The 27,839-nt window shown below is 43.1% G+C and overlaps 1 protein-coding gene across 1 annotated transcript in view, besides 2 other annotated features; it reads right to left on the minus strand.

Moving 5' to 3' along the window:
* The window catches only part of SIAH3 (siah E3 ubiquitin protein ligase family member 3), a 74,512-nt gene that overhangs the window by 20,067 nt on the left and 26,606 nt on the right, over positions 1-27,839 (minus strand). The window lies entirely within an intron of this gene.
* Positions 18,799-19,299: an enhancer, noted in NCBI's record as "H3K4me1 hESC enhancer chr13:46390242-46390742 (GRCh37/hg19 assembly coordinates)". NCBI's record gives its function as "activates a minimal SCP1, AML or CMV promoter by ChIP-STARR-seq in naive H9 embryonic stem cells {active_cell/tissue: H9 hESC(naive)}" and the evidence as "EXISTENCE:reporter gene assay evidence [ECO:0000049][PMID:30033119]".
* Positions 19,300-19,800: an enhancer, noted in NCBI's record as "H3K4me1 hESC enhancer chr13:46390743-46391243 (GRCh37/hg19 assembly coordinates)". NCBI's record gives its function as "activates a minimal SCP1, AML or CMV promoter by ChIP-STARR-seq in naive H9 embryonic stem cells {active_cell/tissue: H9 hESC(naive)}" and the evidence as "EXISTENCE:reporter gene assay evidence [ECO:0000049][PMID:30033119]".

The raw sequence follows: 27,839 nt of genomic DNA on the forward strand, positions 1-27,839 counted from the left end.
TTCTCCCAGGCCAGGATTGCTCCAGCCTGCATAATGCCTGCCGCTTGGGTGACCTCTAGGATCATCCTGAAGGCTGGACTTTCTTCCTCTCTGTCTGCATTTCCCCATCCTCTAAGGGGATGTTGTAGAAGGGAAGGTACATGCACAGCTTCAACGGATCCAAAGCACTTGATTTTCTGTCCTGCCCTTGTAGAAATCTCTCACAACTTCCCTTGCAGCTACCCAAGCCGCAAAACTCTCCATTCATGAGTCTGCGGAGAGAGGGTTAGACCAGCAATCCTCAAACACTGTGCAGGGTGCACACAAATCACCTGGGCATCTTGTTAAAATGCACACTCTGATACAGCAGGTCTGGCATGGGGCTGAGATTCTGCATTTCTAACCAGCTCTCAAGGATGTCAGAGCTGCTGGGTCACAGACCTCACTGTGAAGGGCAAGCAGTTAGACCCACTCGTCCTTGCCCACTGCCATCATGCCGGGCATCCTTCTTCCTTCACAAAAGCCCTAACATCCCTTTAGGAATCAAATAGCATATTCTTAATAACCTCAGACATCTCTTTCTAACACTCTGATTCCTTAACAAGTCCCTGCAGGGTCCATGGTTACTTTCATGATGGCGGTGATAGGGCTGCCCTATTCCAGGGAGGGAATGCCTTGATTTGTTAGTCATGCAGTGTCCCCTTGCAGACAGCTTGGTAACATAGGACTTCACTGGGGGCAGAGGGGAAGCAGAGCTGCGAGGAAATTCTTAAGCAGAAAATGGGAAGTTTATCTTCTTTCTTTTAACAGTATTTAAATTCATTTGTTAAGGGAGAGCTTCGCTTTAATTAATAAATTCTCCATTTTTATGGCTACTCGTAATTCCTTACTATTTAGTTTAATTGGGTTTTCATGTTCAGAATTTAGAAGCAGCTTCCTCTTTTTAGTTTTAAATAGTAATACATAAACCAATAAATATCATGCTTTTCAGCAGGGCCCATTGATTTCCATACCATTCTGCTGTTACATAGTGAATCCATTCATTCAATCAATCACGCAACGAATATAAATTCATCACTCACCATGTGCTGTGGGAGATGATGGGTATAAAATGGTGAGCAGATCACATGTGGTCCCTATCCTCAGAGAGCTTACTTTTCTAGTAGGGGGAGGAATTGCTTCTGGGAGTCAGGGCAGGATTTGTAGGGGAACGTTCAGGATGGTATCCTGTCCAGTATCTTGGAGAGGTCTTTTAATATAATCAAATGGGAGGTAATTTAGATGACCAATCACATGCAGCCAACTGGTATTTAGTTAAGTTGTCTTGAACTTCCCATTAGAACCGTCCAGATGAGGCAGTGCTCTAACTGTAACCAGTCTAATCATGGCTTTGCTCACTTCGGCACTGGCCCTATAGAAGCTCTCCCCTGCAGTCACTTCCGGCAGATCCCTGAACCACTTCTGGTTTGGAGCTTCCTGATTCAGGAATTGCTGTTTGCACAAATACATTTTGAAAAATTATGATGTACCAAAGTTTATCTTTAAACTGGTCCAAGTGCAAATTGTCTTATCTTCTTCCATGATTCTAATATTGGTGACTAATTCTTCTGGAAAACAAATTGGTGATGGCACTAAAGCCTTCCTCTGTAAAACACAGAAATGACAAGTCCTCCATCCCAGATCTACTAATGTACCAGCCTCACGACAAGTAGTCCAAATGAACCAGGGCCTCTTCAATTCCTCCCCACTGCCAGAACTCTGTGTTTCCACAGCACTAGATCCTGGCCAAGCACTTAACAGTAATTCCCTGGGTAATCTTCACAAGTCTTTATAGACAGGCCTACAGGATGAAACTTCAATTTCCCTGCATTGACTAAGATCGGGAATTGAGGCATAAAGAGGCGGATGGGGTTGGGGCAGGGGCACATGGCATGAAGGTGCATGGAGAATGGAGATATGGGTCCAGGTCTTCCACTCCTTATATGACCAAGGATAGTTCCTTTCACTTTTTTCAGACCTTAATTTCCATGTCTATAGAATAAGAACGATGATATCTGCCTCCTTCCTGGATAATAGGAGGAATGCGTTAAAATGTGTTTTAAATGGTGCAATCCATTTAGAAGAAAGTATCATATGGATGCAAATCATGGAAGGGCATGCTTGAAATACGGAATGGTCCTGGCTGACACCTGCTGAGTGTCTGTTCTAAGCACATCACATGCCTCATCTCACTTAATCCTCGTGTGGCCTCCAGGAGGTGGGTATCATTATCACAAGTAGTTTGTACCCAGGGACACTGGAGCTCAGGATGGAGGATGGTCTTTCCCAAGGCCTGGGGGTTGGTGGTAGTGGAGCTGGGCTTTGATGCTCTGGATTCTGGCTGCAGAGTGTGGGCACTGTGCCCCAGGCTTCCCGCTCCTCTCCCTGCAAGCAGCCAGCACTCAATTATCCCCATGTGTATTATCTGCAGCTCATATTTCATTTCATTCCAAGCTGACTTTTCCCTGCCAACCAGCTTGCTCATTTAGTTAGCAGGGGAGCTCAGGGAGTTAGAACTAATCCTAATATTAAGTAAAGAGCAAAGCATAATTAGGAAGATAAATCTTCTGGGGGGAAAATGTATGTAACATATTCCAAAGTCAAGCATGGGTGATTTTTCCCATCTTCTAGATGATCCACATCACTGTTCTCTTTTTCTCTTTCTAGCACAGATAACTATGGGTTGATGACATATTGTTTTTAAACTTAATTTTTTCTGATTAGGAGATCATGTATTCTCATCACAAAATATTTAGAATAGCCTGCATAGTATAAAGAAAAGAATAGAAAACTCTCAGAATAGCACCATCCTGATAGTACCACTGTTAACATTTTGGCGTGTACTTCTTTCAATGCCATTTTCGACATAAATGCCTAAATATTGCACTTGTAGTCTTGTAAACTGTTTTTTTTCTACTTGATATCTTGTGGAACTATATGCGTCAAGAGATGTAGCTGAACACCATTATTTTTGGTGGCTCCATTGGCCTTGGAGAACTCATATGAATGTAGCATAATTGGTTTTATTCAAACCTAGCGAAGAGAGACACAATTGCTTCATGCATCCAATTATTTATTTGTTCATCGATTCAGCAAACCTGCCAGATATTGTGGATGAAAAGAAAAATAAAGTGTAGTTCAGAGCCTCAAAGAATTTGCTGTCTTTTCTCAGAGTCACTGTGTCGATTTCTTTTGGGCCCAATCTCTTGACCTCTGCTGCCCACCCTCAACCTTCCTTGTTCAGATGGCCCCAAAAGCAGCTTGCTTTGTTGTTGGAAGCAGCCAGGCCTTATTCGCTGAGCCTCCCCCACTTCCAATCCCTTCCTTTTCTGCCTCTGGTTTTAACAGTGGCATAAAACTAATTTATAGCTCTTGCTAGGAAGAGGACAAATTTTCATCTCAGCCCGTCATGCGAAAAGCACTAGTACAAATGAATAATTGTTGACCCATGCTACCTATTAGAGATTGTGCTTGGGTCACCTCGTTTGTTGTTTTAACACAAGAAATTAAGGGCCCTGGCAAGGGCTTCCATGGGCACTGAATTGGTAATGAGATAGAACATCGTCTTTGTGGGCGACCTCTCCTGGCGCCATGTTCACAAGAGGGAAAGGGATGAAACCTCGCTTCCACAATGATCCCATGAGAAGGGTAGACTCTGCCTGTGTCCACCTTTGATTTTAGGCTCAGGGTCATGTTCTACTAGGATCCATCAGCATATGCCTGTGAAGCAACTAGAATATGCTGGACACTGGGTGAAGTGATGGGTGGCGGGGGGGGGCATGGCTGTAGACGTTGCTATTTTGGCCTCCGGGAGTTCGCCAGCGCCTGACATATGTGAAGCCATATGCTTTTGCAATATATGTGTGCATGGAGTGATACAGGGTACATTCTCCCTCAGTACCAAATGGCTTGAATTGCAGGAAAAGGTTTGTGTTGGGGGTGACACTTGAAATGGGTCAGAAACAATAGAGGAACTCTGGATAGTGAAGGGATGAGAGGTGAGCACTCCTGGAAGACAGAGGACATCCCTGAATGCAGGGAGGAGCTGTGCTTTCCACCGACTGATGAGGCCTTGAGAGAACAAGGAGAAATGAGGCTAAGTAAGGAAGGTGCAATCAGATTACAGAGAGCTTTGAAAGCAAGACGAGAGTAAGAAAGACGGAAGGAGTTTCACAACACTTGATTGGTTCCATGTCCTGGATATGTGACCATGACTTGCAGGCTGTATTGAATATTATATGTTTTATAATATTAGGGACTAAAAATTGCAATGAAAATGTGTGTGTATACAGCCTTTCACACAGCTAGGGGTCAACATATACTTAATAACGTGTTACATTATTCCTATGCCATCTCTCTGGTCAAGAACTATTACCTTGAACCATCATTTCAGCATTTTACAAAGTGTTTTCATACCTAGTACCTCATGTAAATTTGAATATAGGTAAGGTCAAATGCTTTGGTTACCTGGGCAATAACATCTGCTGGCTGATATTCTGCATGCTCCAGGCATTAGTCTAGGCAAGCAGATGAAGATATCAAGGGGCAGCAGGGCTGGGTTTTGGTGGAAATCCTGCCTGTCCATGCTGATTCACTGGAGGACATGGGTAGCAGGAAGGGAAAATGCCGTTTTTGGAAACTGTGATATTACACAGAAGAATCAACTGAAAGACTGTTGCAGAGTAAGAAAGTTTGGGGCCGGGCGTGGTGGCTCACGCCTGTAAAATCCCAGCACTTTGGGAGGCTGAAGCGGTGGATCACTTGAGGTCAGGAGTTTGAGACCAGCCTGGCCAACATGGTGAAACCCCATCTCTACTAAAAATACAAAAATTAGCTGGGCGTGGTGGCATGCACCTGTAATCCCAGCTGCTCTGGAGGCTGAGGCAAGAGAACCTCTTGAACCCGGGAGGTGGATGCTGCAGTGAGCCAAGATTGTGCCACTGCTCTCCAGCCTGGGTGACAGAGCGAGACTCCATCTCAACAAAAAATAAAAGCAAGAAGAAGAAAGTTTGGTAAAGTGGCAGGGTGGCAGGAGTTGTCTTTTCTAGTCACTGAGCTCTGGACCTAATGATGAGAGTGGGGTTAGGGGGCGAGGTGCAGTGAGGCAGTGAAGGAACTGTTGAGTTAGTCCTTCTTTTGGATGTGGGAATGTGACCCCTGAGCAGAAAGGATAATGGGAAAAGCTTCTGGATATTTACGATGATTTTCAGCAGAGGTATTCACTCCCAGACACTAGGGAGCTACATTTACTGTCACTAGAAGCCCCAACTGATACCTTGGGATAGGCCGTGGGGACACTCTGGGATAATGCAATATTCTAAAACAGAGATCAGAGGCCTTGGTGAGACTTATGAAGCCCCCAGCTAGCTCCAGATCTACATTCGGCAGGTTGCCATCCCAAATTAATATGCATTAGGCTAGATAAAGAAGTCAGAGCAAGGAGGCTGGATCAAGGCAGCTGCAGGCCAGGCGTGGTGGCTCACGCCTGTAATCCCAGTACTTTGGGAGGCCAAGGCAGGTGGATCAACTGAGGTCAGGAGTTCAAGACCAGCCTGGCCAACATGGTGAAACCCCATCTCTACTAAAAATACAAAAATTAGCTGGGCGTGGTGGCGGCCGCCTATAATCCCAGCTACTCAAGAGGTTGAGGCAGGAGAATTGCTTGAACCTGGGAGAAGGAGGTTGTAGTGAGCTGAGATCGCTCACTGCACTCCAGCCTGGGTGACAAGAGCAAAACTCTGTCAAAAAAAAAAAAGGCAGCCGCAGACTAGAAAGCCTGTTTGGCAGGGTGTGGGCAGGAGTGCCTTAATCTTTTAAGTAGTTTGAAAGTGAGGCCTGCATTTTCTATAGCTCTGTCTTAGGTCACAGGTGCATACACAGCAAGTGATCAGGTAGTCCCTATTCAAATGCCTAAAGCTGGAGTATATGGATTTAGTTTTATTCATTCATTCATTCGTTCATCAAACTTTATCAGCCCTCTTTCATGTGCCAGATCCTGGTGACAAAATGATAAATAATACCCAGTGTCTGTCCACAAAAGGATGTACAGTCTAATGGGGGGTTGGCTGGAAAATAGACAACTACAAGGAATGTGTGATAAATGCTATGATAGAAATAAGCCCAGGGAGCTGTGGGAACACAGAGGAAAGACAATGAGAAAACTCTGGCCAAGGAAGGTCTCATGGAGGAGGTCGTAAGTGAGCTGGGCCTTGAAGGATGAATGGGAATTATCTTGGCAAAGGACCATTTATAGGGAGAAGAAAAGAACATTCAGGTAGACAAAAAGCAATAGAATTCAGCAGCCCTGAAAGTTACAAATAGTTCAGCAATCCTGGAAGGTCAAGGTAGTTGATGTCCAGGTGGGTGAGAATGATGAGAAATTACACAGAAGAGGCCCCTATACATAGCTTCTATGCTATACATAGCATAGAAGAGCTATGTATAAGGAGTTTGAGTCCTGTTATCAAGACTGCTAAGGAGTTTGAGTCTTGTTATGAAGGCTTTGGTGTGCCACTGAAGGATTTTAAGGGGGATATGGACAAGGATGACATAAGAAAACTCCTAATAAAAAATTCCAGGTAGGTGGGGTAAGATGTAAAGAAGGATATAAGACTGGTAGCAGTTACAAAATCCATATTTTTATCCAATTACCTACAACCGATTTGTAGAGATATGTACAATTATACACTGAAAACACATTGATTCCTAAAAAGTAAACTGTGGCTGGAACTTTTACAAAAATAATTATTTTACATATATTTTTTCTTCCCCAATTAAAAACTTTTAATTTAAAAGTTAACTTTAATGTCAAAAATGCAAGCTTGGGGAGGGCATACATATTATATTTTTAAAAATAAAAGCTATATATTATTTAGGCAAGTTTGTTATTACTATTAATTCTATTAATGTGTTTAATATTAATATATTGTTATTACTACATGCTACAACATAGATAAACCTTGAAAACATTATGTTAAGTCAAAGAAGCCAGTGGCGAAAGATCACATATTATATAATTCTATTTACATGAACTGTCCAGAATAGGCAAATGCACAGATACAGAAAAAAGATGGGTTGCCAAGGGTTGGAGGGAGGGTAGAGTGGAGTGGTTGCTAACAAATATGGGATTTCTTTTGGGGTGTTGAAAACATTCTAAAATTAGATAGCGGTAATGGTTGTGCAACTCCGTGAATATACTAAAATCAATTGAATTATACACTTTAAAAGGTATGTGATAACTCAAAATATTAAAAGCCATCTATGACAAACCCACAGCCAACATTATACTAAAGGGGCAAAAGCTGGAAGCATTCTCCTTAAGAACTGAAACACGACAAGGATGGCCACTCTCACTATTCCTATTCAACGTAGTATTGGAAGTCCAAGCCAGAGCAATCAGGCAAGAGAAGGAAATAAAAGGTATCCAAACAGGAAAATAAGTAGTCCAAGTATCTCCCTTCATTGATGACATGATTCTATACCTAGAAAACCCTAAAGGCTCCACCAAAAGGATCCTAGAGATGATAAACGACTTCAGTAAAATTTTAGGATACAAAATCAATGTACAAAAATTGGTAGCATTTTATACACCAATAATGTTCAAGCTGAGTCAAATCAAGAACTCAATCCCATTTATAACACACACACACACACACACACACACACACACACACACACACACACAAAATACTTTGGAATACATCTAACCAAGTAAGTGAAAGATCTCTACAAGGAGAACTACAAAACACTGCTGAAAGAAATCATAGATGATACAAGCAAATGAAAAAGCTTCCTATGCCCAATATTGTCAAAATGGCCATACTGCCCAAAGCCATCTACAGATTCAATGCTATTCCTATCAAACTATCAACATTACCGTTCACAGAATTAGAAAAAAACTATTCTAAAATTTATATGGAACCAAAAAAGAGTGCGAATAGCCAAAGCAATATGAAGCAAAAAGAAGAAAGTTGGAGGCATCACACTACCTGACTTCAAACTATACTACAAAGCTACAGTAACCAAAACAGCACGATACTGGTATAAAAACAGACCATAGACCAATGGAACAGGATAGAGAACCCAAAAATAAAGCTGCACAATTACAATAATCTGATCTTTGATAAAGTTGACAATAACAAGCAATGGGAAAAGGACTCCCTATTCAATAAATTGTGCTGGGATAATTAGCCAGCTATATGCAGAAGAATGAAAATGGACCTCTACCTTTCGCCATATATAAAAATTAACTCAAGATGGATTAAAAACTGAAATGTAAGACCTCAAACTATAAAAATCTTAGAAGAAAACTAGGATATACCATTCTGGACAGTGGCCTTGGCAAAGAATTTATAACTAAGTCCCTAAAAGCAATTGCAACAAAGACAGAAATTGACAAGTAGGACCTAATTAAACTAAAGAGCTTCTGCACAGCAAAAGAAACTATTAACAGGCTAAACAGACAATTTATAGAATGGTAGAAAATATTTGCAAACTATGCATCTGACAACAGTCTAATGTCCAGAATCTATAAGAAACCTAATTCAACAAGCAAAACCAAATAACCCCATTAAAAATGGGCAAAGGACATGACAGACACTTCTCAAAAGAAGACATACATGTGACATACAAATATATGAAATAATCCTCAACATCATTAATCATCAGAGAAATGCAAATCAAAACCACAATGAGATGCCATTTTGTCCCCATCAGAATGGCTATTAAAAAGACAAAAAATAACATGTTGATGAGGTTGTGAAGAAAAGGGAACATTTATATACTGTTGGTGGAAATGTAAATTAGTTCAGCCACTGTGGAAAGCAGTTTGGAGATTTCTCAAATAATTTAAAACAGAACTACCATTTGACCCAGCAATTCCATTATGGAGTATATATGCAAAGGAAAAGACATTGTTCTACCAAAAAGATAAACACACTCATATTTTCATCACAGCACTCCTCACAATAGCAAAGACATGGAATCAACCCAGGTCCCCATCAATGGTGGACTGGATAAAGAAAATGTGGTACATATACACCATGGAATACTACACAGCCATAAAAGTGAATCGAATTATATCCTTTGCAGCAACATGGATGGAGCTAGAGGCCATGATATTAAGCGAAGTAATGCAGGAACAGAAAACCAAATACCACATGTTCTCACTTACAACAGGGAGCTAAACATTGAGTACACACGCATATAAAGATGGCACCAATAGACATTGGGGACTATGAGAGTGGGGAGGGTGGAAGGAAGACAATGGTTGAAAAAGTATCTATTGCGTGCTATGCTCACTACCTGGATGACAGGATTATTCATATACCAAGCCTTAGTGACACGTCATTTACCCATGTAACAAACCTGCACATTTACCCCCTAAACTTAAAAGCTGAAGAAAATAAATAAAAATTTAAAGGTATGTGAATTTTATTTCAATAAAACTGTTACACTAATAGTAAAAGACAGAAACTTCCTTAACAAGTAGACTGACATTTTTAGTGGGTACACTCTGGAAGCATCACTGAAATCAGAAACAAACCATGAATGTTCACTATATTACTGTTATTTAACATTCCACAGGAAGTAGCCAATGCAATTTGATGGGAAAAAGAAATAAAAGGTATAAAAGTTTGGAAATGAGAGAACCAACTGGAAAAAATCATAAAATTTGAAGAATTCAGTAAAGCACAAATTTAGTAAATACAAATCAATAATTTTCACACTTTCAAATAAGAAGTAGCTGTTCATATTAAAAATAATACCTTGGAATAAATTTTATAGGAAACAGTCACAGGCTATAAGAAAAAAACGTAAAATGCTACAGAAGAACTCTAAGAAAGAATTGAATAAATAAAAGTATCATCTATTCAATACGATGATTCACTGTTATAAATATGTTGACATTCCCTAAAATTAACAAGATTGTAATAAATACACCAGAATACTAAAAAAAAAAAACTCAAGTGATTTAAAAAGTTTATATGAAAAAATAAATGTGCAATTATAGTCAGATTGCTGAAAAATAAATAGTTATGAAGGAGACTATTCAATAAAATTGTAAAACATAGAATAAAGCTACAGTATTAAAACATGGTGATTCAAGTGCATGAGAAAACAAAGCAGATTGTTAGAACAGCACAGAGAACCAAATACTTATAGTTCTATTTATTAGATTTAGTAGAGCAGGAAGTTTAGCATTGTATATTATTAGAGAAAAAAAAATCCCCTACTCCTACTGAGTTTTTAAATCTGTATTCCCCATTCGTCTAGAGAGGCATAGAAGCAAGAGAGAACTTAGGGACCTAGAGAAGACTCAGTGTAAAAAAGTCAGGACACAGCAGCAATTTGCTGTGACCAATGACTGGACACCAGATGGCAGCAAGGACTCTCAGTGGTGTCAATATGGATGGATGACAACAGCTAGAAAGAATGCCCTCCAAATCGAATCATTGACATTGCATATGCCCAGTAGTGTATTAGCTCACAAGAGCTAATTGTTGAAGTTTTAGAAATTTTGTGAGCTGATTGTTAAACACAGCCATTGTTAAAATTAAACAAACAGAATTAAATAACTTATATTAACAACCCAGGTAGTAAATACTCAAAGCTCATTACTTCCTAAATATTTTATTATATTTTGCTATTAAATGTGTTCTTGAGGTTGCTTACATATCTGTAAATCTGTATTTGTATCTGTATCTATATGGTAGAAATACTAAAAACCTCTTCCCAACTTCATGTGCGGTGATGTTGTGTTGGTAGCTTAAAATTAGTCATGGTGGGAATATTTACACCATGGAAACTGGCAAATGCTATAAATCAGGGCTTGATTTTCTGTTTTGTTGATTTTCTAGAGTAGACTGAAGAAAGTGATGAAGAAAATGTTAATAAGGGCAAACTATACCTAAAAGTGTCCTGGTATATAGGTGTTACTTTGTGTTAAACAGCACAAAAAATTACAGAAATAGTCTTTTAGTATCCTAAGACTATTATCCAACTCAGCAAATAAATAGTTCACGTCACTGAGCAGTGAGTGATAATCTGACATTTATCTTTGTTGTTTCACTTTTATCTGTTAACATAAAAGAAAACATCAACCAACATTCATATTTAAGTCACACACATTCATCAATGACATGGTGACTTTTTCTATGAACTAGATAGCCAACATAGTCTAATTTTGTTAAACAACGGCTGAATTGTAACTGTAGGTTGGCTACAGATACAAGAGTTCAACAAAACCAATAAATACATTCTGTGTAGTTATATGAAATTTAAAATAAAGAATATTGTATATTTTGTTATTATTTGTAAATTGTATTACACATACTTTATATCAGTAAAATTTATAATAAACTTATGTCCATATGTACGTGCATACTTTTATCTACCAGAACATTACTTCATAGGCCCCCCAAAACTTGGACTCAACACTGGGCACAGTAGGGAATCTCCATCCTGGTTAAAATTAGGTTTCCATTCTTGATGGAATGGGAACCAGAATATATATTAAATTCAGTTATAGAGAAAAGAATGTTATATCTATTGCACATCTCAAATTATGAATATGTTTAAGACTTGTACCCATTTCGCATCTGATAAGGCAAAGTAAACCTAAAAGCTAAACAAGGAGGCTCTGAGGCCTCCATTTTCGCCTTCGGCAGTACATCCCACACAGTGAATGAGTGGGCTTCCAACCCTATTGTAACAATATTGATGATCCCTGCCTGGTCCTGACTCATAAAAGAAGTTGATGTGGGTCAATGACTCCTGAAGTGGACATAAATCCTGAGGCTGCGCTGCATAACCTCTGAACTTTCAGTGACTGCTGCCTCAAGGTAATTGCCTAAGCCTCTAGGACTTAAGGTGGGGAGAATGCGTGTGTTGGGGGCTCCGCAGAACTGAGACCTTTAAATGGACTCTGTAAGTTTTGTTCCACCCTTAAGGCTACACCAGAAATTTATAGACTGTGGTCTGGAAATCATTACACGTGCTAGACATGTTTTTGTGTCCACAAATCTGCAGAATCAGAATCTCTGGACATTATAACAGACGGCCCAGATAAATCATATATGCTGACCAGAGATTGAGAGGCCGGGCCTCATGGAGAAATTGCCAGGGCAGAATTGTCTGCTTTGCTACCATAAGGAAAGTTTCAGTCGAGAATATCAATAATTTGGGCCCTCTTTCTCTAGCCTGGCTAAGATTGAAATCAGAAATTACTGGGCTGGAAAGACCCCATACTGCTTACCCAAGAAGTCCCTACCTGCATTCTGATATTGTAAAATGTTTACAATATATAGCTTTTTAAAAAAGTAAGGTAAAACTATATATGCATAATATGATTTAATGCTTTTATAAAAAATACAATCAAATGTATTGCATTTAATAAATTACTGAAAGCAAAAGAACCAGATAATTGTGGTTATCTCTGGGTGGAATTACAGGCAGTTTTTTTCTTAGTGGCTTTCCATATTTTACAGATGTCTGTACAGAATAAATACTACTTTTATAATTTAAAAAACTAAATGTTGTTTCAAGAATAATGTAGTCAAGGGGGAGACAAAACAAAATGAACAAAGCAAAAGCAAAAGCAAAACCAAACCAAGAAATCTGCCTCTGTTTAGAACTTCTTTCAGCAGCCCAGGCAGAAGCTTGTCACGTTGCCATGGGCTCCCTGGTCGAGCTAGTCCTGAGTCACAGCCCCCAAAGTTCCTAAAGCAGCCCAGAGCCCTGAGGCAGCGACCTGAAGGCACAGTCCAACAAAGGTCACTTAGACAACAGGGCCCACAGCCAACATTCTGGACCCTGAACTCTCCATCCTCCCTCAGGAGACACCAGCCTCCTGAGGATGCTCAGTCCCACCTGGACTACCCAAAGGAGATCAGAGACGAGTGGCCCAGTCCTATCCGTCATTCACTGGGACGCTCCATCATGGCTAGTCAGCTGAATGGATGGATGAAGTCCTGTTCAGCACCAGTGCCTGGGTGAGGAATAGTCTGCACCAGAAGCTCACATATATCTTGACTCTTGTGTGTGTGGTTGTCAGGCCGCTATAGTGCTGCCGCAAACCACTCTGGATACTTAAAATCCAGGAGGTATTTTTCAAACTCTGCTACCGGCAGCTGGTGTTTGGTGGCTTACATATGGAGGTATTGATGTGTTCTGGAATTGGAGAAAATCACCCTCTGGAAATAGAAAAATGTGGTGACAGGGACCCATGTAGACTGGAATTTTGTCCCAGTGCGTTTGCCTGGGGCTGGTTGGTTTCTCCTCTCCTGGGCTTATGGTCAGAGACAAAGACATTGAGAAAAAATGTGCTGCAGTATGATGGGAGTCTAGAATTCATACTCCCAAGAATGTTTAATTTGAAGAAATTCTACTGCTAAAATTTGGCTCTGCATTGTCGCTGCTGGTCAGTTATGGATGGCTCTAGAGATAGGAAGAGGCAAACATCCCCTGCTTCTCTGGTGCATTGTTGCCATGGACCTTTTAGTGAGAAAGAGTGTCTGCATGCATGGGGCCTGGAAATGCCTGGGGTGAACTTTGCAGAAAGCAGGAACAGAGTGAGAAGAAAAGAGAATGTACTGCTTGCATACCCATATCTGTTGGTTGGCTTCCATGGACATGTGGTTGAAGGATTGTTCTGGTATGACTGACAGAGGCAAAATAGGAAAGAGATTAAGAGAATGAGCTTTGGAACCCTAAGGCTGAGTCCTGGTTCAGCTGTTCATTTGCTGTGCAACCTGGGCAAAGTTACTTAACCTCTCAGAGTGTCATTTGTAAAATCAGAACAATAATAGGGTGATTTCAAGAATTAAAAAGAATTTCATTTAAAACTTTGGCATATTGCCTGGGACACAGTAGTTGGTAATGAGTGCTGGTGGTGGTGATGGTAATGATGGTAATGATTCTTCTCCTTTGAGCTTAGTGAGGCAGGACTAGTTGGAGAGGGTGAGAGGTGGTGATATTTGTACTCTGGCCATGGTGAGGGCAATGAATATTTCCTAACAGAAATGAATGTTTTCAGGCTAACTAGACTTTGAAAACTCTGTAATTAATCTTTGTTGATATGTAATAGAACGTTTTGAAAGGGTACTTTTTTTGAGACACGGTCTTGCTCTGTTGCCTGAAAGAGTACTTTTTTTTGAGACACGGTCTTATTCTGTTGCCCAGGCTGGAATGCCGTGGTATGATCAAGGCTCACTGCATCCTTGACCTCCTGGGCTAAAGCAATCCTCCATCCTCAACCTCCCAAGTAGCTGGGACTACAGGGGCATGCCACCACACCCAGCTAATTTTTGTATTTGGCAAAGCACTTCTAATGAAACTCACAGATGATATTTTCATTGCATCTCAGGAAACCACTTCAGGATCCTAGCGTTCTGAAGTCAGAGTTCAGGGCAGGAGATAGCCACCTTCATGGTCATTCACTTTATCTTTCCAAGTATGCCTCAGCCAGGCTTCTTCATTTTTGCCTCTTGGGTGCATTCACCTCTACTGACCTAGGGACTGGAGGTCATTTTAGGAAAAGAGTCTACCAAAGGGAAGGCAATTCTGTCTCCGAAGAACCAGACAACTTTCAGCCTGGTTTAGTTATGAGAAGGGTTCTGGCCTGGGCATGCCTGCACTGGAATCCCATGGGAAGTCTCCCTCTGAACTTTCAGAGACTCCAGCCCCACTCTCCCCGATGCACAACTGTTAGTTCAATGCCATTCACCAAAAGGATGCCGCCCAGCACCGGTGGAGATGGAGCAGAAACAAGTGAGTCATGTTTGGAATGGACCCAGGGAATTCTGCAGAAGAACTTCCAGGTGATGCCCACGCTGCCTGATGCAGACACAGCCTGAGGGCTGATGATGTAGGTCCAAGTGTGCTCCTATGTCCCATGCTTTCCAGTTTTCAAGGACATTCACTGATACCATCTTGTTTCATCCTCACCTAAACCCCAGGAAAGGGGACAGACAAGCCCTGTGAGCCCATTTTATAGACAAGGAGACAGGATCAGAAGGGTTACATGACTGGCCCAAGGTCCCAGGCTAGGACACAGCCAGCAGAGGCTGGGATGTGGTCCAATTGCCAGTTCATCCTTTTTTTCTTTTCACTTGAGAGAGGTTAAAATTAGTGCCTGCTAAAGAGCTTTCCCTAAGGACTCAAGGAACATTATTAATAGCATTCCATTAATCCTCACATTTATTCAGGAACAGCAGGTGGCTAAGATTATAATGATTATAATGATTGCTATCATGACACAGAATTACTAGGACCCCGGGGTACAGCTTCCTTAATGCTATGCTTTCCTGTGATGCATATGGGTGCATAAATATATAACACACACACACAGACACACACACATGCTCACACTCACACTCCAAATAGCAACCAGGTAAGGAAGCTTTCACTGAGTGTTGAGAATGAAGCCTGAGATCCCAGCATGACTAAACAGGAATTTCCTAGGATTTTTTGTTGCACTAGTGACATAAAAGGCTTTGCAGATAAAACACACAAGGGAAGTTAGGACAATTGGAGAAAGTTTTGCATGTCTTCACATGCTCAAATGCAGGAAGCAAATAAAGGTGCAAGTCTCCTCCTGGGCTGGAAATGTGAGGCCGTGTCTTCCCAGGAGAAGGAAGCCAGTGTATTGAAGCCCATCCAGGCCTTCTGGGCTCCCATCTGGATGGTAGGGAAGTGAGGGGGTGTCCTGCCCTGGCTGTCTGCACTGTTCACACTTAGAAGGCGATTGCCTGGACCCAGTGGGAACGTGGTGAGCCTGGGTCAGTACTGAGTCCCGGACCTGATGGGAACATGGTGAGCCTGTGTCAGTACTGAGTCCCAGACCCGGTGGGAACATGGTGAGCCTGTGTCAGTACTGAGTCCCGGACCCAGTGGGAACATGGTGAGCCTATATCAGTACTGAGTCCTGGCACCAGGCTGCATTCAGCTCTTTCAGTCTGTGATGCTGTCATGCAGTTGAAATAAGGAGAGAGAGAGGATGGGAAAGAGGCTGTCTGGCCTCCCCAGAGCAAAGGTAGCAAAAGGAAAAGCCCAAGACTTGGTGTCAGGGAGCCTGGAGAATGTTGTCCCTAGGGCTCTGCCCCCTTGGCCAGCTTGGTGACCACAAGCCCTATTCCCCAGCATTACAGAGTCATTCATTCTTTCATTCATCATCCATCTTAGTCAGTTTGGGCTACTATAACAGAATATAGGCTCAGGGGCTTAAACAACAGACACTTACTAGGTTGTTGCAAAAGTAATTGCAGTTTCTGCCATTTAAAAGTAATGCTAAAATACTCAATTACTTTTGCACCAACCTAATATTTCACAGTTCTGGAGGCGAGGAAGTCCAACATCAAGGCCCTGGGAGGTCTGGTGTCTGGTGAGGGCCTGCTTCCTAGTTTGCAGACAGCTGCCTTTTTGTTGTATCCTCACATGGCAGAGAGAGGGAGGAAGAGAAAGATCTAGGTTCTTTCTCTTCTTAAAAGGACACTAATACCATCATAAGGGTTCTACCCTCATGACCTCATCTAAACCCACCTACCTCCCAAAGCCCCACCTCTTAAAAACATTCCAAAGGGGTTAAGATTTCAATATATGAATCTTGGGGTGATAAAAAATACAGTCCATAGGCCGGGCACAGTGGCTCACGCCTGTAATCCCAGTACTTTGGGAGGCCGAGGCAGGCGGATCATGAGGCCAGGAGATTGAGACCATCCTGGCTAACACGGTGAAACCCCGTTTCTACTAAAAATACGAAAAAATTAGCCGGGCGTGGTGGCGGGCACCTGTAGTCCCAGCTACTCGGGAGGCTGAGGCAGGAGAATGGCGTGAACCCGGGAGGCGGAGCTTGCAGTGAGCCGAGATGGCACCACTACACTCTAGCCTGGGTGACTGAGCAAGACTCTGTCTCAAAAAAAAAAAAAAAAAAAAAAATACAGTCCATAACACTCATGCATCTATTCAAGAAGTGTTTTTGGAGTATAGTCCCCAGGGAGCCGACAATTCAATGGGAGAAACTGGCAAGCAAGTTGGCAATTACATTACTCAGGAAAAGTGCCACGGTGTGGGGTGGGCTCTGGGTATCAGGAGATATTTAGCAGGAAAACCAGCACCATCTCGGGGAATCATGGAAGGCTTCTTAGAAGTGACCTCTGGGAGGATGAGCAAGAGCTGGGCAGGCAAAGATGAACAAACGGAGCAGGTTTGCAGCCAAAGAGACAGCATATGTGAGGTGCTGCTGCCCTAGTAAGCTTCATTCTCTCTCACCAGCCTAGCTTCTCAGCCCCTCCCCACAACCCCACACTGCTCAGATCTTTCTGGGCTACTGGGGAAGTCATGAGTTTATTTGCCCCCAGAGTTCTAGTATTAGGTTAGTGCAAAAGTAATTGCGGGTTTTGCCATTACTTTTTTTTTTTGAGACAGAGGCTCCCTCTCTTGCCCTGGCTGGAGTGCAGTGGTGCGATCTCGCACTGCAACCTCTGCCTTCCGGGCTCAAGCGATTCTCCAGCCTCGGCCTCCAGAGTAGCTGGGATTATAGGTGTGTGCCACCATGCCCAGCTAATTTTTTTATTTTTGGTAGAGATGGGGTTTCACCACATTGACCAGGCTGGTCTCAAACTCCTGACCTCAAGTGATCTGCCTGCCTTGGCCTCCCAAAGTGCTGGGATTACAGGCATGAGCCACCATGCCCGGCCTGCCATTACTTTTAAATGACAGAAACTGCAATTACTTCTGCACCAACCTAATAGACCTTCATTTTTTTTTTTTTTTTAATCAACCATTTCAAACAATTCCAGCTCTTGCTAGAGAGGGGCATTTCATCTTTCTGGCAGTGAAGGTTAATTTTATGTGTCAACTTGGCTAGGCCATGGTACCCAGATATTTGGTCAAATGCTAGGCTAAATGTTACTATGAAGGTGTTGTTTAGATGAGGTGAACATTTAAGTCAGTAAGACTTTGAGTGAGGCAGATGGCCCTCCATAATGTGGGCCAGCCTCATCCAAGCAGTTGAAGGCTAAAGAGAAAACAGACTGAGGCCTCCTGAGGAAGAAGGAATTCTGCCTACAGACTGTCTTTGGGCTCCGGCTATAGCATCAGCTCTTCCCTGGGTCTCCAGTCTGCCTGCCTGCCTGTTCTGTGGACTTTGAACTTACCAGGATCGCATGAGCCAATTTCTTAAAATAAATCTCTCTCTTTATATACATGTGTGTGTGCATATGTATGTATGTGTGTATGTAGACATCCTATTCATTCTGGTCTCCGGAGAACCATGACAAATACAGTGCATAAACCCAGGTCCCTTTAGGTTGCTGGACTCATTTGAAAGCATTACATCTCATCCACTAGGAAGGACCATGCTTCCCAGATCTTCCTGATGATTACAGTTGTTCACTCCATGATGTGAGAGGGCTGGGTAGGAAAATGCGAAACAAAACAAATTTCATTCCTGCCCCAGCCTGAAATGAGACTCAAGTCTAGATAAGTGGATTAACTTCCTAGAATTCAGTTTCTTTATCTGCCACACAGCCGACAGAGGCCGTTAAGGTGACATGGCAGTACAGGGCATCCCCACAACAAAAATCACAGCAAATTGTATTATAATGTATTTCAGGAGCCCAGGCCCACATGAAGCACATGCCGTGCCTATCTCATTTAATGCTCATAGCTAAGCCACGAGTTACGGAGCATCATCACCCATTCTAGAGGTGAGGAAACCGAGGCACAGAGAAATGTAGCTGCCATGCTCAGGCGCACACAGGCAGATGGAGGCACGATTGGAGCCCAGGCAGCTGGCCTGGGCCCCTGTGCTTCACTGCCCTGTGAGGCCTGATTGAGACCTGAAGGAGCTGACGTCAAAGCTTCATCCTTGCTGATGTATCTGTTTTGTGCCACTGCATTGTACAACTCCAGGAGCCCTTGCCTCTATTCACAAGGACTGCAGAGAATGGTGCCCTGCAGAGAATGGTACCCTTGAGGCCCTGTTTCTGCTGGCCTTTTCATCCTAGGATCCTGATGACTGAACTGGAATAAAGACATGAAGTGAGGTTTATCCAGAAAAACACAGCAATATCCCAGCCAAAGAAGACAGGGTGTTTATAGCCACTTATTTCCACTAACATATGGATTGGAAAGTAATATTCATCTATTTTTAAAAGCCTTGCTATAAATTACAACAGCTGAGTTATGAACCCTGAGGAATGGCATTCATTCAAATGTAAATGTCAACATAGCGCTCCCAACTTCAGCCCCTCGGGCGTGCCCCACAACCACACTTCCCCCAGATAGAGGCTCACTGCACTGTGCACCTTGGCCGCCTTGCTGCTGCGCTCAGGCTGCCCTCTGACATCACCTACATTCAGCAAGGGTTTCTCTTCACTCTGGGCAGCATTTAACTGCCCCTCACCTGCTCCAAGACAGCCAATCCAGTGTGACAGCTCAGAGTATGATGACCATGGGGAGAAACAGCCCACGGTAACTACATGTGCCTACAGGTAGTAGCAATGAACAGTAGTAATAACTATAATATATGGAGTGATTATTGCCAACCAGGTTATTATTTCACTGAACCAGGTACTAATGTCATTGACAAAGGCTGTACTAGATAATGGTTAGGAATTTGCACCAGGCAATGGGATGCATCCTGCATCCTGTTTACTCTCCTTACTAGCTAATGCCTTAATTTCCACATGGGTAAAATAGGAATAATATCACTGGCTTTTTAGTATTACTGTGAGGATTAAATGAGTTAATTTGTTAAAAGCACTTAAACTAGTGCCTGGATAATTGTAAACATACACGCAGACACACAGAGTCATGCACTGCATAACAATGTTTAGGCCATATACAATGGTCATCCCATAAGATTATAACACTGCATTTTTAATGTATCTTTTCTATGTTTAGATATTTTTAGATACACAAATACCATTGTTACAATTGCCTACAATGTTCAATATAGTCACATGCTGTGCAGGTTTGTAACCTAGGAGGAATAGGCTATGCCATATAGCCTAGGTGTGGAGGAGGCTAGATTATCTAGGTCTGTGTGAGTGCAATCTGTGATATTCACAAGATGAAATTGCCTACTGATGCATTTCTCAGAATGTATTTCTGTAAACAACACACAATTTTAGATGGGAAAAGTCTTTGCAGATGTGATTAAATTAAGGATTTTGAGATGTGGAGATATCCTGGATTCTATCCGGGTGGGCCCTACTTGCCATCACAAGTGTCCTTATACGAGGGAGGCAGAGGGACCTTTGAAGAGTGACCTACAGAAGAGAAAGCAATGTGAAGACAGAGCAGAGAAAGATGTGAAGGATGCTGGCCTCGAAGACTGGAGTGATGCAACCACAAGGCAAGGGATGCCAACAGCCACCCAAAGCTGGAAGAGGCAAAGGATGAATCTCTCTTAGAGCTTATACATAAAGAGAATATGTATACATGTATTTTACTCTTCCCAACAATCCCAAGAGGCAGGCAACATTGCTATTCCCATTCTAGAGATGAAAATCTGGTCTGAGGTCTGTCAGAGCCCTGAATCTATCCTCTTACCTGCTGTGCCCCTTTTGCTGTCTATTGTATGTGTGAGGAGAGACCACCTGCCTGTTATCTACGTTGCAGAAGGTACAGTAGAGGCCCAGCCTGCATCCCTTTTGTATTCACTGATGCCTTCCTACTGCAAGTTCCTGCAACTCTGTGCCCTAGAGGGAGCTATTGACAAATGATGTGGAGAAATTGGAGGAAAATACCCAGATGCCTCCTCTGGAGCAGGACAACTCTGAGGTATCCTACATCACCTCCCAGGGTCCCCAGGGAGACTGCAGCCCACCTGCCCGCAGTGGTAACTTGCTTGAGAATGCACCTTGCATGACTTCCTTTCTATCTGTATCTCATGTTCTCATTCCCCTACTGGTGTTTCTTCAGGTCACCTTCCAAATAAATTACTTGTGTTCATGTCCTTGTTTCAGGGTCTGCTCCTGGAAGAACTCAAGCTAAGACACCTACACATAGATATGTATATTTGCTATTTTCATGCATCTAGTTAGGTTAAATAATGACTTCTAAAGAGATCATTGTTTTTCCCTATGGCTGCTGTAGCAAACTTGGTGGCATAAAAAACAGAAATTTATGCTCTCAGAGTTTTGAAGGCCAGAAGTCTGAAATCATTATCACTGGGCCAAAATCAAGGCATCAGCAGAACTGCGCTCCCTCCGGAGGCTCTAGAGGAGAATCATTCCTCTTCCAGCTTCTGGTGGCAGCTGGCATTCCTTGGCTTGTGGCTGCATCACTGCAATTTCAAGGCCAGCATCTTCAAATCTTTCTCTGTTCTGTCTTCACATCACCTTCTCTTCTGTGTGCCTTTGTCAGATCTCCCTCTTGTAAGAGCGATTGTGATGGCATTTAGGGCCCACCCAGATAATCCAAGATATTCTCACCATATCTAAATGGTTAACTTAGTCATATCTACAAACACTTTGCCACACAAGGTCACATTCACAAGTTCCTGGGATTAGGAGGTGGACAGCGGTGGGGGCCATCATCAGTTTACCATGATAAGACAGTCATTCATGCAAAGCAATTTTACTCTTAATCCTTTTCATGTGCTAGGGTGTTAGGGGTATGGAGATGAATAAAAGGCAGTCCTTGTCCCTTAGGTGCTCACATTCTAATGAAGAGATGGACAAGGAAACCCACCTTTACAGGGTGCTGGCTAAATGCTGACCCAGAGCCACGAAAAGGGCTCTGGCTGCAGTGTGCTTGTGATGGCTCAGAGCACCAGGACCAGCTTCTGACCATGCACGACACAGAGAAAGGAAGAGAGGCCAGTGTAGAAAGTCAAAGGAGCCTGATCCCAGATGGCCCCCTGCTGTCACCAAATCATCAGGGACTACTTGCCTCCAGATTGCTTTAATATAGCAACACTATGAATTTTACGTGAGCCATTGTTTTTGATTGTTTTGTTGGGTTAGACTTTACTTCTAACAGATACAGGATGGGAGGAGCGTTTAAGGAAGCAAGGAAGAACAGTGTGCACCCATTCACAGAGCCAGGAGGCAGCCATGGCCTTGGGCTGCACAGTGTTGGGCATGGCTGGGTGGACGGGACAGGAAGGAGTGGTGGTCGCTGAGGAAGAGTCAGATCATTATGGCCTCTACAAGAAACCAATAACTGCAAATTAGGGAAAAAAACAGCAAAGAGGAAATCAGACTTTGGAAAATTAGAAAAAGGAGGTTGTGGTGGAAATTGGTATTTAGGAGGAACATAATTATTGGGTGGCCACACAATGTGGCTTTAGAAATAGCTTCTGATTGCTCTGTGCTTATATGTAAAACGGGCCCTGCATGTCGGAGGGCTGGCTCTGGCTGCCTTGGCTGTGCCCACCTCAGGGGCAGGGTCTCCAGGGCTGTGACTTAGATAGACATCACTTCGGGGACCTAGTCTCTTCCCTCAAAGCCCCAAACCCACTTCCAGGGCCTGCAGGACTTCTGCCCTCCTCTCTTGGTCTATTTGTGCTTCTATAACAGAATGCCAGAGGCTGGGTCACTTATAAAGAACAGAAAGGGGTTCCTCACAGTTCTGGAGGCTGGGAAGTCAGCGGGTTCAGTCGTGTGGTGAGGGCTGCAGTCTGCCTCGGAGATGGTGCCTCGCTGCTGCATCCTCTGAGGAAAGGAACGCCGTGTCCTCACATAGCAGGAGGAAGAAGGGCAAGAGAGCCGAATGCTGTGTGAAGCCTCCTTTATAAGGGCCTTAATCCCATTCAGGAGGGAGGAATCCGCACGACTTATGTGTCTCTTAAAGGCCCCACCTCTTAATACCATCACATTGGCCACTAAGTTTCAACCCTGAATTTAGGAGGGGACACATTCAAACCACAGCACCTCCCCAGATGGTTCACAGCACCACGAGCGAACCCCTAAGCCAAGAGGTGGTCAAGAAGCTCCGTTGGCCGGGAGATAAATGAAGCTTTGACGAGTGAGCCAGGCTACCATGCAGGTGAACCTCCTGTGGTGGGGACGGAGCCAGAGATGGGACGAGAAGGGTCTGGGCTGCGGGCCAGGGGCTGCGTCTCCTCACACTACTGCATTCTGGTGAGGAGCTCCTTGTAATCTAGGGATTGTGACTGGAACCTGGTCTTCCCGACTGTTTAAGGCCTATGTTTGTAAAGGTAGAAGGAGAGAACATATTTTGTTTAAGAGTTTGTTCATTTGATTTCTAACTCTGAAGTGTGCAGACATATGGTACGGTGTGGGTGGTAGAGCCAGGCAATTTCGGAGGACTATTGAACAGCAGCATTCCCTCCAGCCCTCCTCCCACCACCGCGGCCCTCCTTTTCCACCAGCCTCCGAAATCCCCTCCCGGAGCAAACAGACTCTGCCTGGCTGCTTCTGCAGTTTCTGGGTTACCTGGGGCTTCTCTTTCCCCTCCTCTCCCAGGTTCTGGGGCCCTCAGAACTTACTGGCCTTACCAGGGAACCAGGCAGCTCCTGGCACTTGCTTCCTGCTGCGTTACTGACTTTCCAGTTTCTAGGAGGCTGATGCCTGCCCTCTGGCCCTCTGCACGTAACATACTCTCTTCCAGGAATTTCCCCACCTCCGTCCTCCCCAGACTGTCTCCTACCAAGGTCTGTTGTTTCCTTCTCTGTGTTCCCCTCTGTCCCTTCTGCATATATATGAGTACCATTATGGGTTGAATAGTCTCCCAAAAAGATGTTCAGGCTCTAAACCCCAGTACCTGTGAACCTGCAGACGTGACCTTATTTGAAGATAGGGTCTTTAAAGTTGATTGAATTAAGGTGAGGTCATTAAGGTGGGCCCTAATCTAATATGACTGGTGTCTTTGTAAAAAGTGGAATTTGGAGGCAGAAACAGACATAGACACATAGAAAAGATGATGTGAGGACACAGGGAGAATGCCATCTACAAGCCATGGAATGCCCGAGGCTGCCATTAGGCAGGAGAAAGGCCTGGGACAAATTATCCCTCACAGCCTAGAAGGAACAAGCCCTGCCAACACCTGGACTGTGAGACAATCAATTCCTGTTATTCAAGCCACCTAATTCATGGTACTTTGTTGTGGCAGCTCTAGGATTCAAATACAGGTACTAGTAGCCCAATCACACTGTCACATGAATTTGATTTCTTGTCTCCCCAGCAAAGCCATTGGTTCTTAAAGGCCTGAACCTACTGCCCCATGGCCCAGTAGAGTGCCTGACACATAGTATGCCATCAAAAAAATTTGGTGTCATAAAAATAATTAGACTTCAAGGTGGAAAATCACCGTAGAGATTTTTAACCATTGTCCTAATTAACTATAGCAAAGATGCTAATTATGAGCAAGTGTTATGCAAATGACTCTGTGGCCCTCTTAATTATATCATTACCTAGACATGGCCCCTAGGAAATAGCTGCGCTCAATTCTTGGGTTGAAAATCAATGAGAGTGGGGCCAAAAGGCAGTCAAGAGACAGTTTGTTGCTCAGCACGTTGGGTAGGAAGAGAGAACAAGAACAAATGTTCACTGTGAAATATCTGGAGGTTCTTTTTCATGTGCCCAGTTGATTTCTGCTTCTTATCTTTCAGCACCACCCTCCACAGAGCAGGGGTAGGGGCCTGAGTACCAGCCAGGAGTGATTTATGAGGGTTATCAGTGGCCGTTGTAGGGAATGCTTCACACCTGTGGGTCCCCGGCAGGACTATACCCCTTTGCTCTTGTGACATGTGTCCCCTGCTGCAAGTGACACGTGGACCCAGAGTGTCTCAGAGAAATCTGGCTCCTTGGCGCTCCCAGTCCAAGCTCCCCAGCATCATCCCTGAGACAGCTGGTGCAACAGGGAGCTTTTCTGAAGACACTGGGGTCTCAATGCGGACCTATATGGTGTCCCACTGCCATGATTCAGGAACAGAGAACAGAAAAATTGCTGTCTTTCTAGAATGTGATCTGGGAACTTGTTCTTCAGCTCCAATATAATTTTCCTAGAGGTGAACATATTTTCTTAGCAATCATTCATTATTTTTTCCAAGTATAGTAAGACAGTATATTGGACCATTTGAAAACAGACTGAGCCAAAAGGACTTTTAAGATCATTAAACTGCATTTGGATTTGAGTCTTTCTGATCTAAGCTTCAGTTACAAATTTACTAACTTGAGTGATCAATGCTGTGAAGAAGTGAGCTAACATTTTCATTATCAAATATATATATATATATATATATATATATATATATATTAGACTAGGGAACAGGCAAAAATGGTATTAATAATGATTGCCTCTGGGCAGTAGGATTATAGGTGATTTTATTTTCTTATATTTTTGATTTCCTAATTTTGAAAATGAACTTATTTTTTATATCATCAGAAAAATGTTACTTGTAAAGGACTTGAAATCCTCAGCCTGGATGACAAATGTTTGCTGTTTGGGAGCTGGGTGTGCCGCAGGCCTGGAAGACAGAAACTCATCATTGTCCTGAAACGGAGCTGGTTTTAAAGTGCCGTGTTCTTGCACTTCACGGCCTGCCCCATGGCCTCCTCCCCAGCCTGGAAAGTTATCTCTGTGAGGCTGTTTTTATTTTCTTTCTTAATGAGGAAATGAAGAACAAAGGCCACAAAGTCGTCCCAAGGTCCTTGCACCCTGGAGAGGGGCGAGCACTTTAGGAGCTCTTTGAATCCCTCCCTCTCCAGACAGAAAGCTTCTCCTTAGATCTAACCCGTCCCCTCTGCTCCAGATTAAAGCTGTTAGCTCTTATTTGAACCTCAGTAGAAGGTGGGCATCCTATTCCATAATAGTCCTGGGTCTACTTGAATAATAAAAGAATTACAACTCGTATTCTCATGACGCTTTAGAGTGGTGATTTCTTAACTGTAAAGGCACAATCTAACTGCCTGGGGAGCGTTTAACGAAGACCACTGCCTGGCCCAACCCTAGAGTGCTGACTTAATCGGTCTGGGGTGGGCACCTACAGCTGGAGTTCTGTAAAAGCTCCCCAGGCAATTCTAATACGTGGCCAGAGCTGAAAACTGCTGCTTCCGAATTTTTAAAGCACGTGTACACTATTTCAGCTGATCCTCAGAACCACTATAGGCAAGGCAAGTCTGCCCTATTTTCCCAGGCAGGTCTTTTTATAGCATTACTTTAAAAACCTTAAATCTCAGTCTACTTCTGGAGTTTTTCCAATTTTCTTTTCCTTTGTGAAATCTACCGTTGATATGCCTTTCAGCTTTAAAACTCTCCAGTTACCTGAATGTAAACTCTCAGCCCTAGAGAACTCCATCTATTCTGTGATTCTCCAAGCACTTGAAAGATTTTGGTCTCAAAACTGCTATCCAAAGACACCATGAAGCCTGTCCTGCTTCTCATCACTCAGCACTATCCTACCCTACCTTTAAGACAAGGTCAAAAGATGCAAAGGCCTTCAGGGCCAGCAGGCACTGTGCAAGTGTTAATCTGGTGGTTTAGTCCTACAGGCCTGACAGTATAGGGAGTGGTGCTGACAGTGTTTGTCAAAGATCTGGGCTGTGACCTGGTGTGACCTTGGGCAAATTACTTACTGGCTCTGAGCCTCAGCTCTCTCCTCTGTAGTAACATTGGGACTGTATTTTTAAAAAAATATTATTTTAGATTCAAGGGTACATGTGCAGGCTTGTTACATGGGTATATTGAGTGATGTTGAGGTTTGGGTTTCTAGTAAACCCATCACCCAAACAGTGAACATAGTACCAAATAGTCTACATTTTAGGCCTTACAAAGGTCAAAGATCCATTCTCATCTGTTTAATCTTCACCACTCTATAATTAGGGCAATTTTTACAACCCGTTTTACATACTAGGCAAATCTGACTTAGGTTTAAGTGAACTTCAGTTAAAAAATTATACAAGTAAAAACTGGCAGAACTTGGTTTTGAAGTCAATTCCTTTTAGTGCCAAACCCTTTATTTGTCCCACAACGCCACATCGAATTCTCTAAGAGTGTCAGTAATGTTAGCTGCCTCAAAGGGTTGTAAGTTAGATTGAATGTAGTCAGGCCCACAGCAGGCACAGGACCTGCCCCCCTTGCTGCTGTCGATAAAGCTCTGCTATTAACAAAAGCAATAACAGAATATTCAAAGTGGTCTGGGGTAGCCTCCATACCCCTCACCTGTCACTGGCCATTTTCTTCCTTCTTTGTAAGCTGGAAGGCTCTGGGCCTAACCTCATCTAATTAAGGCAGAGTATCTGGGGTTGAGACCCAGGTTTCAGCCCTTCCCCTTGGTTTCAAGCTCCCTAGATGATTCCAACATGCAGGTGGAGTTGAAAACCACTGTGGGGAAAGAGACCAGTGCTAAATGTCTTTGGACCTCCAGACACATAGAGCCTGGCACACAAACAATGTTTTGTGGTATAATTTGTTAAAGCAGCGCATCGGAGTTGGAAAAATCCAGGTTTAAATCTCTATCACTTATCAGAGAAGGGGACTTATTTGCTCTGAGCCTTATTCCTCATTTATTAAAAAACAAAAACCACGAGATTGCGCCACTGCACTCCAGCCTGGGCGACAGAGCGAGACTCTGTCTCAAAAAAAAAAACAAAAAAAACAAAAACCAAAAAACCAAAAAAAGAAGCCATCCTCTACTCTGCAGGGCTGTGCTGAGAAGTGACAGAGAACCAAGGCGTGTGCTAATGTGTCCACTGCTGTGAGTGCTAAAGCGGTATGCAAACGTACGGCAGCATGACAGTATCGTGGGTGCTTAATACATATTTATCGATTTCCACGAGATCTTACTTACCCATCTTTTCTTCACTCTTAAACATGAAGCTGGGGGAAATAAATAAGAAATATAATTG

Source organism: Homo sapiens, chromosome 13, assembly GCF_000001405.40.
Source record: "Homo sapiens chromosome 13, GRCh38.p14 Primary Assembly".
Taxonomy (NCBI): domain Eukaryota; kingdom Metazoa; phylum Chordata; class Mammalia; order Primates; family Hominidae; genus Homo; species Homo sapiens.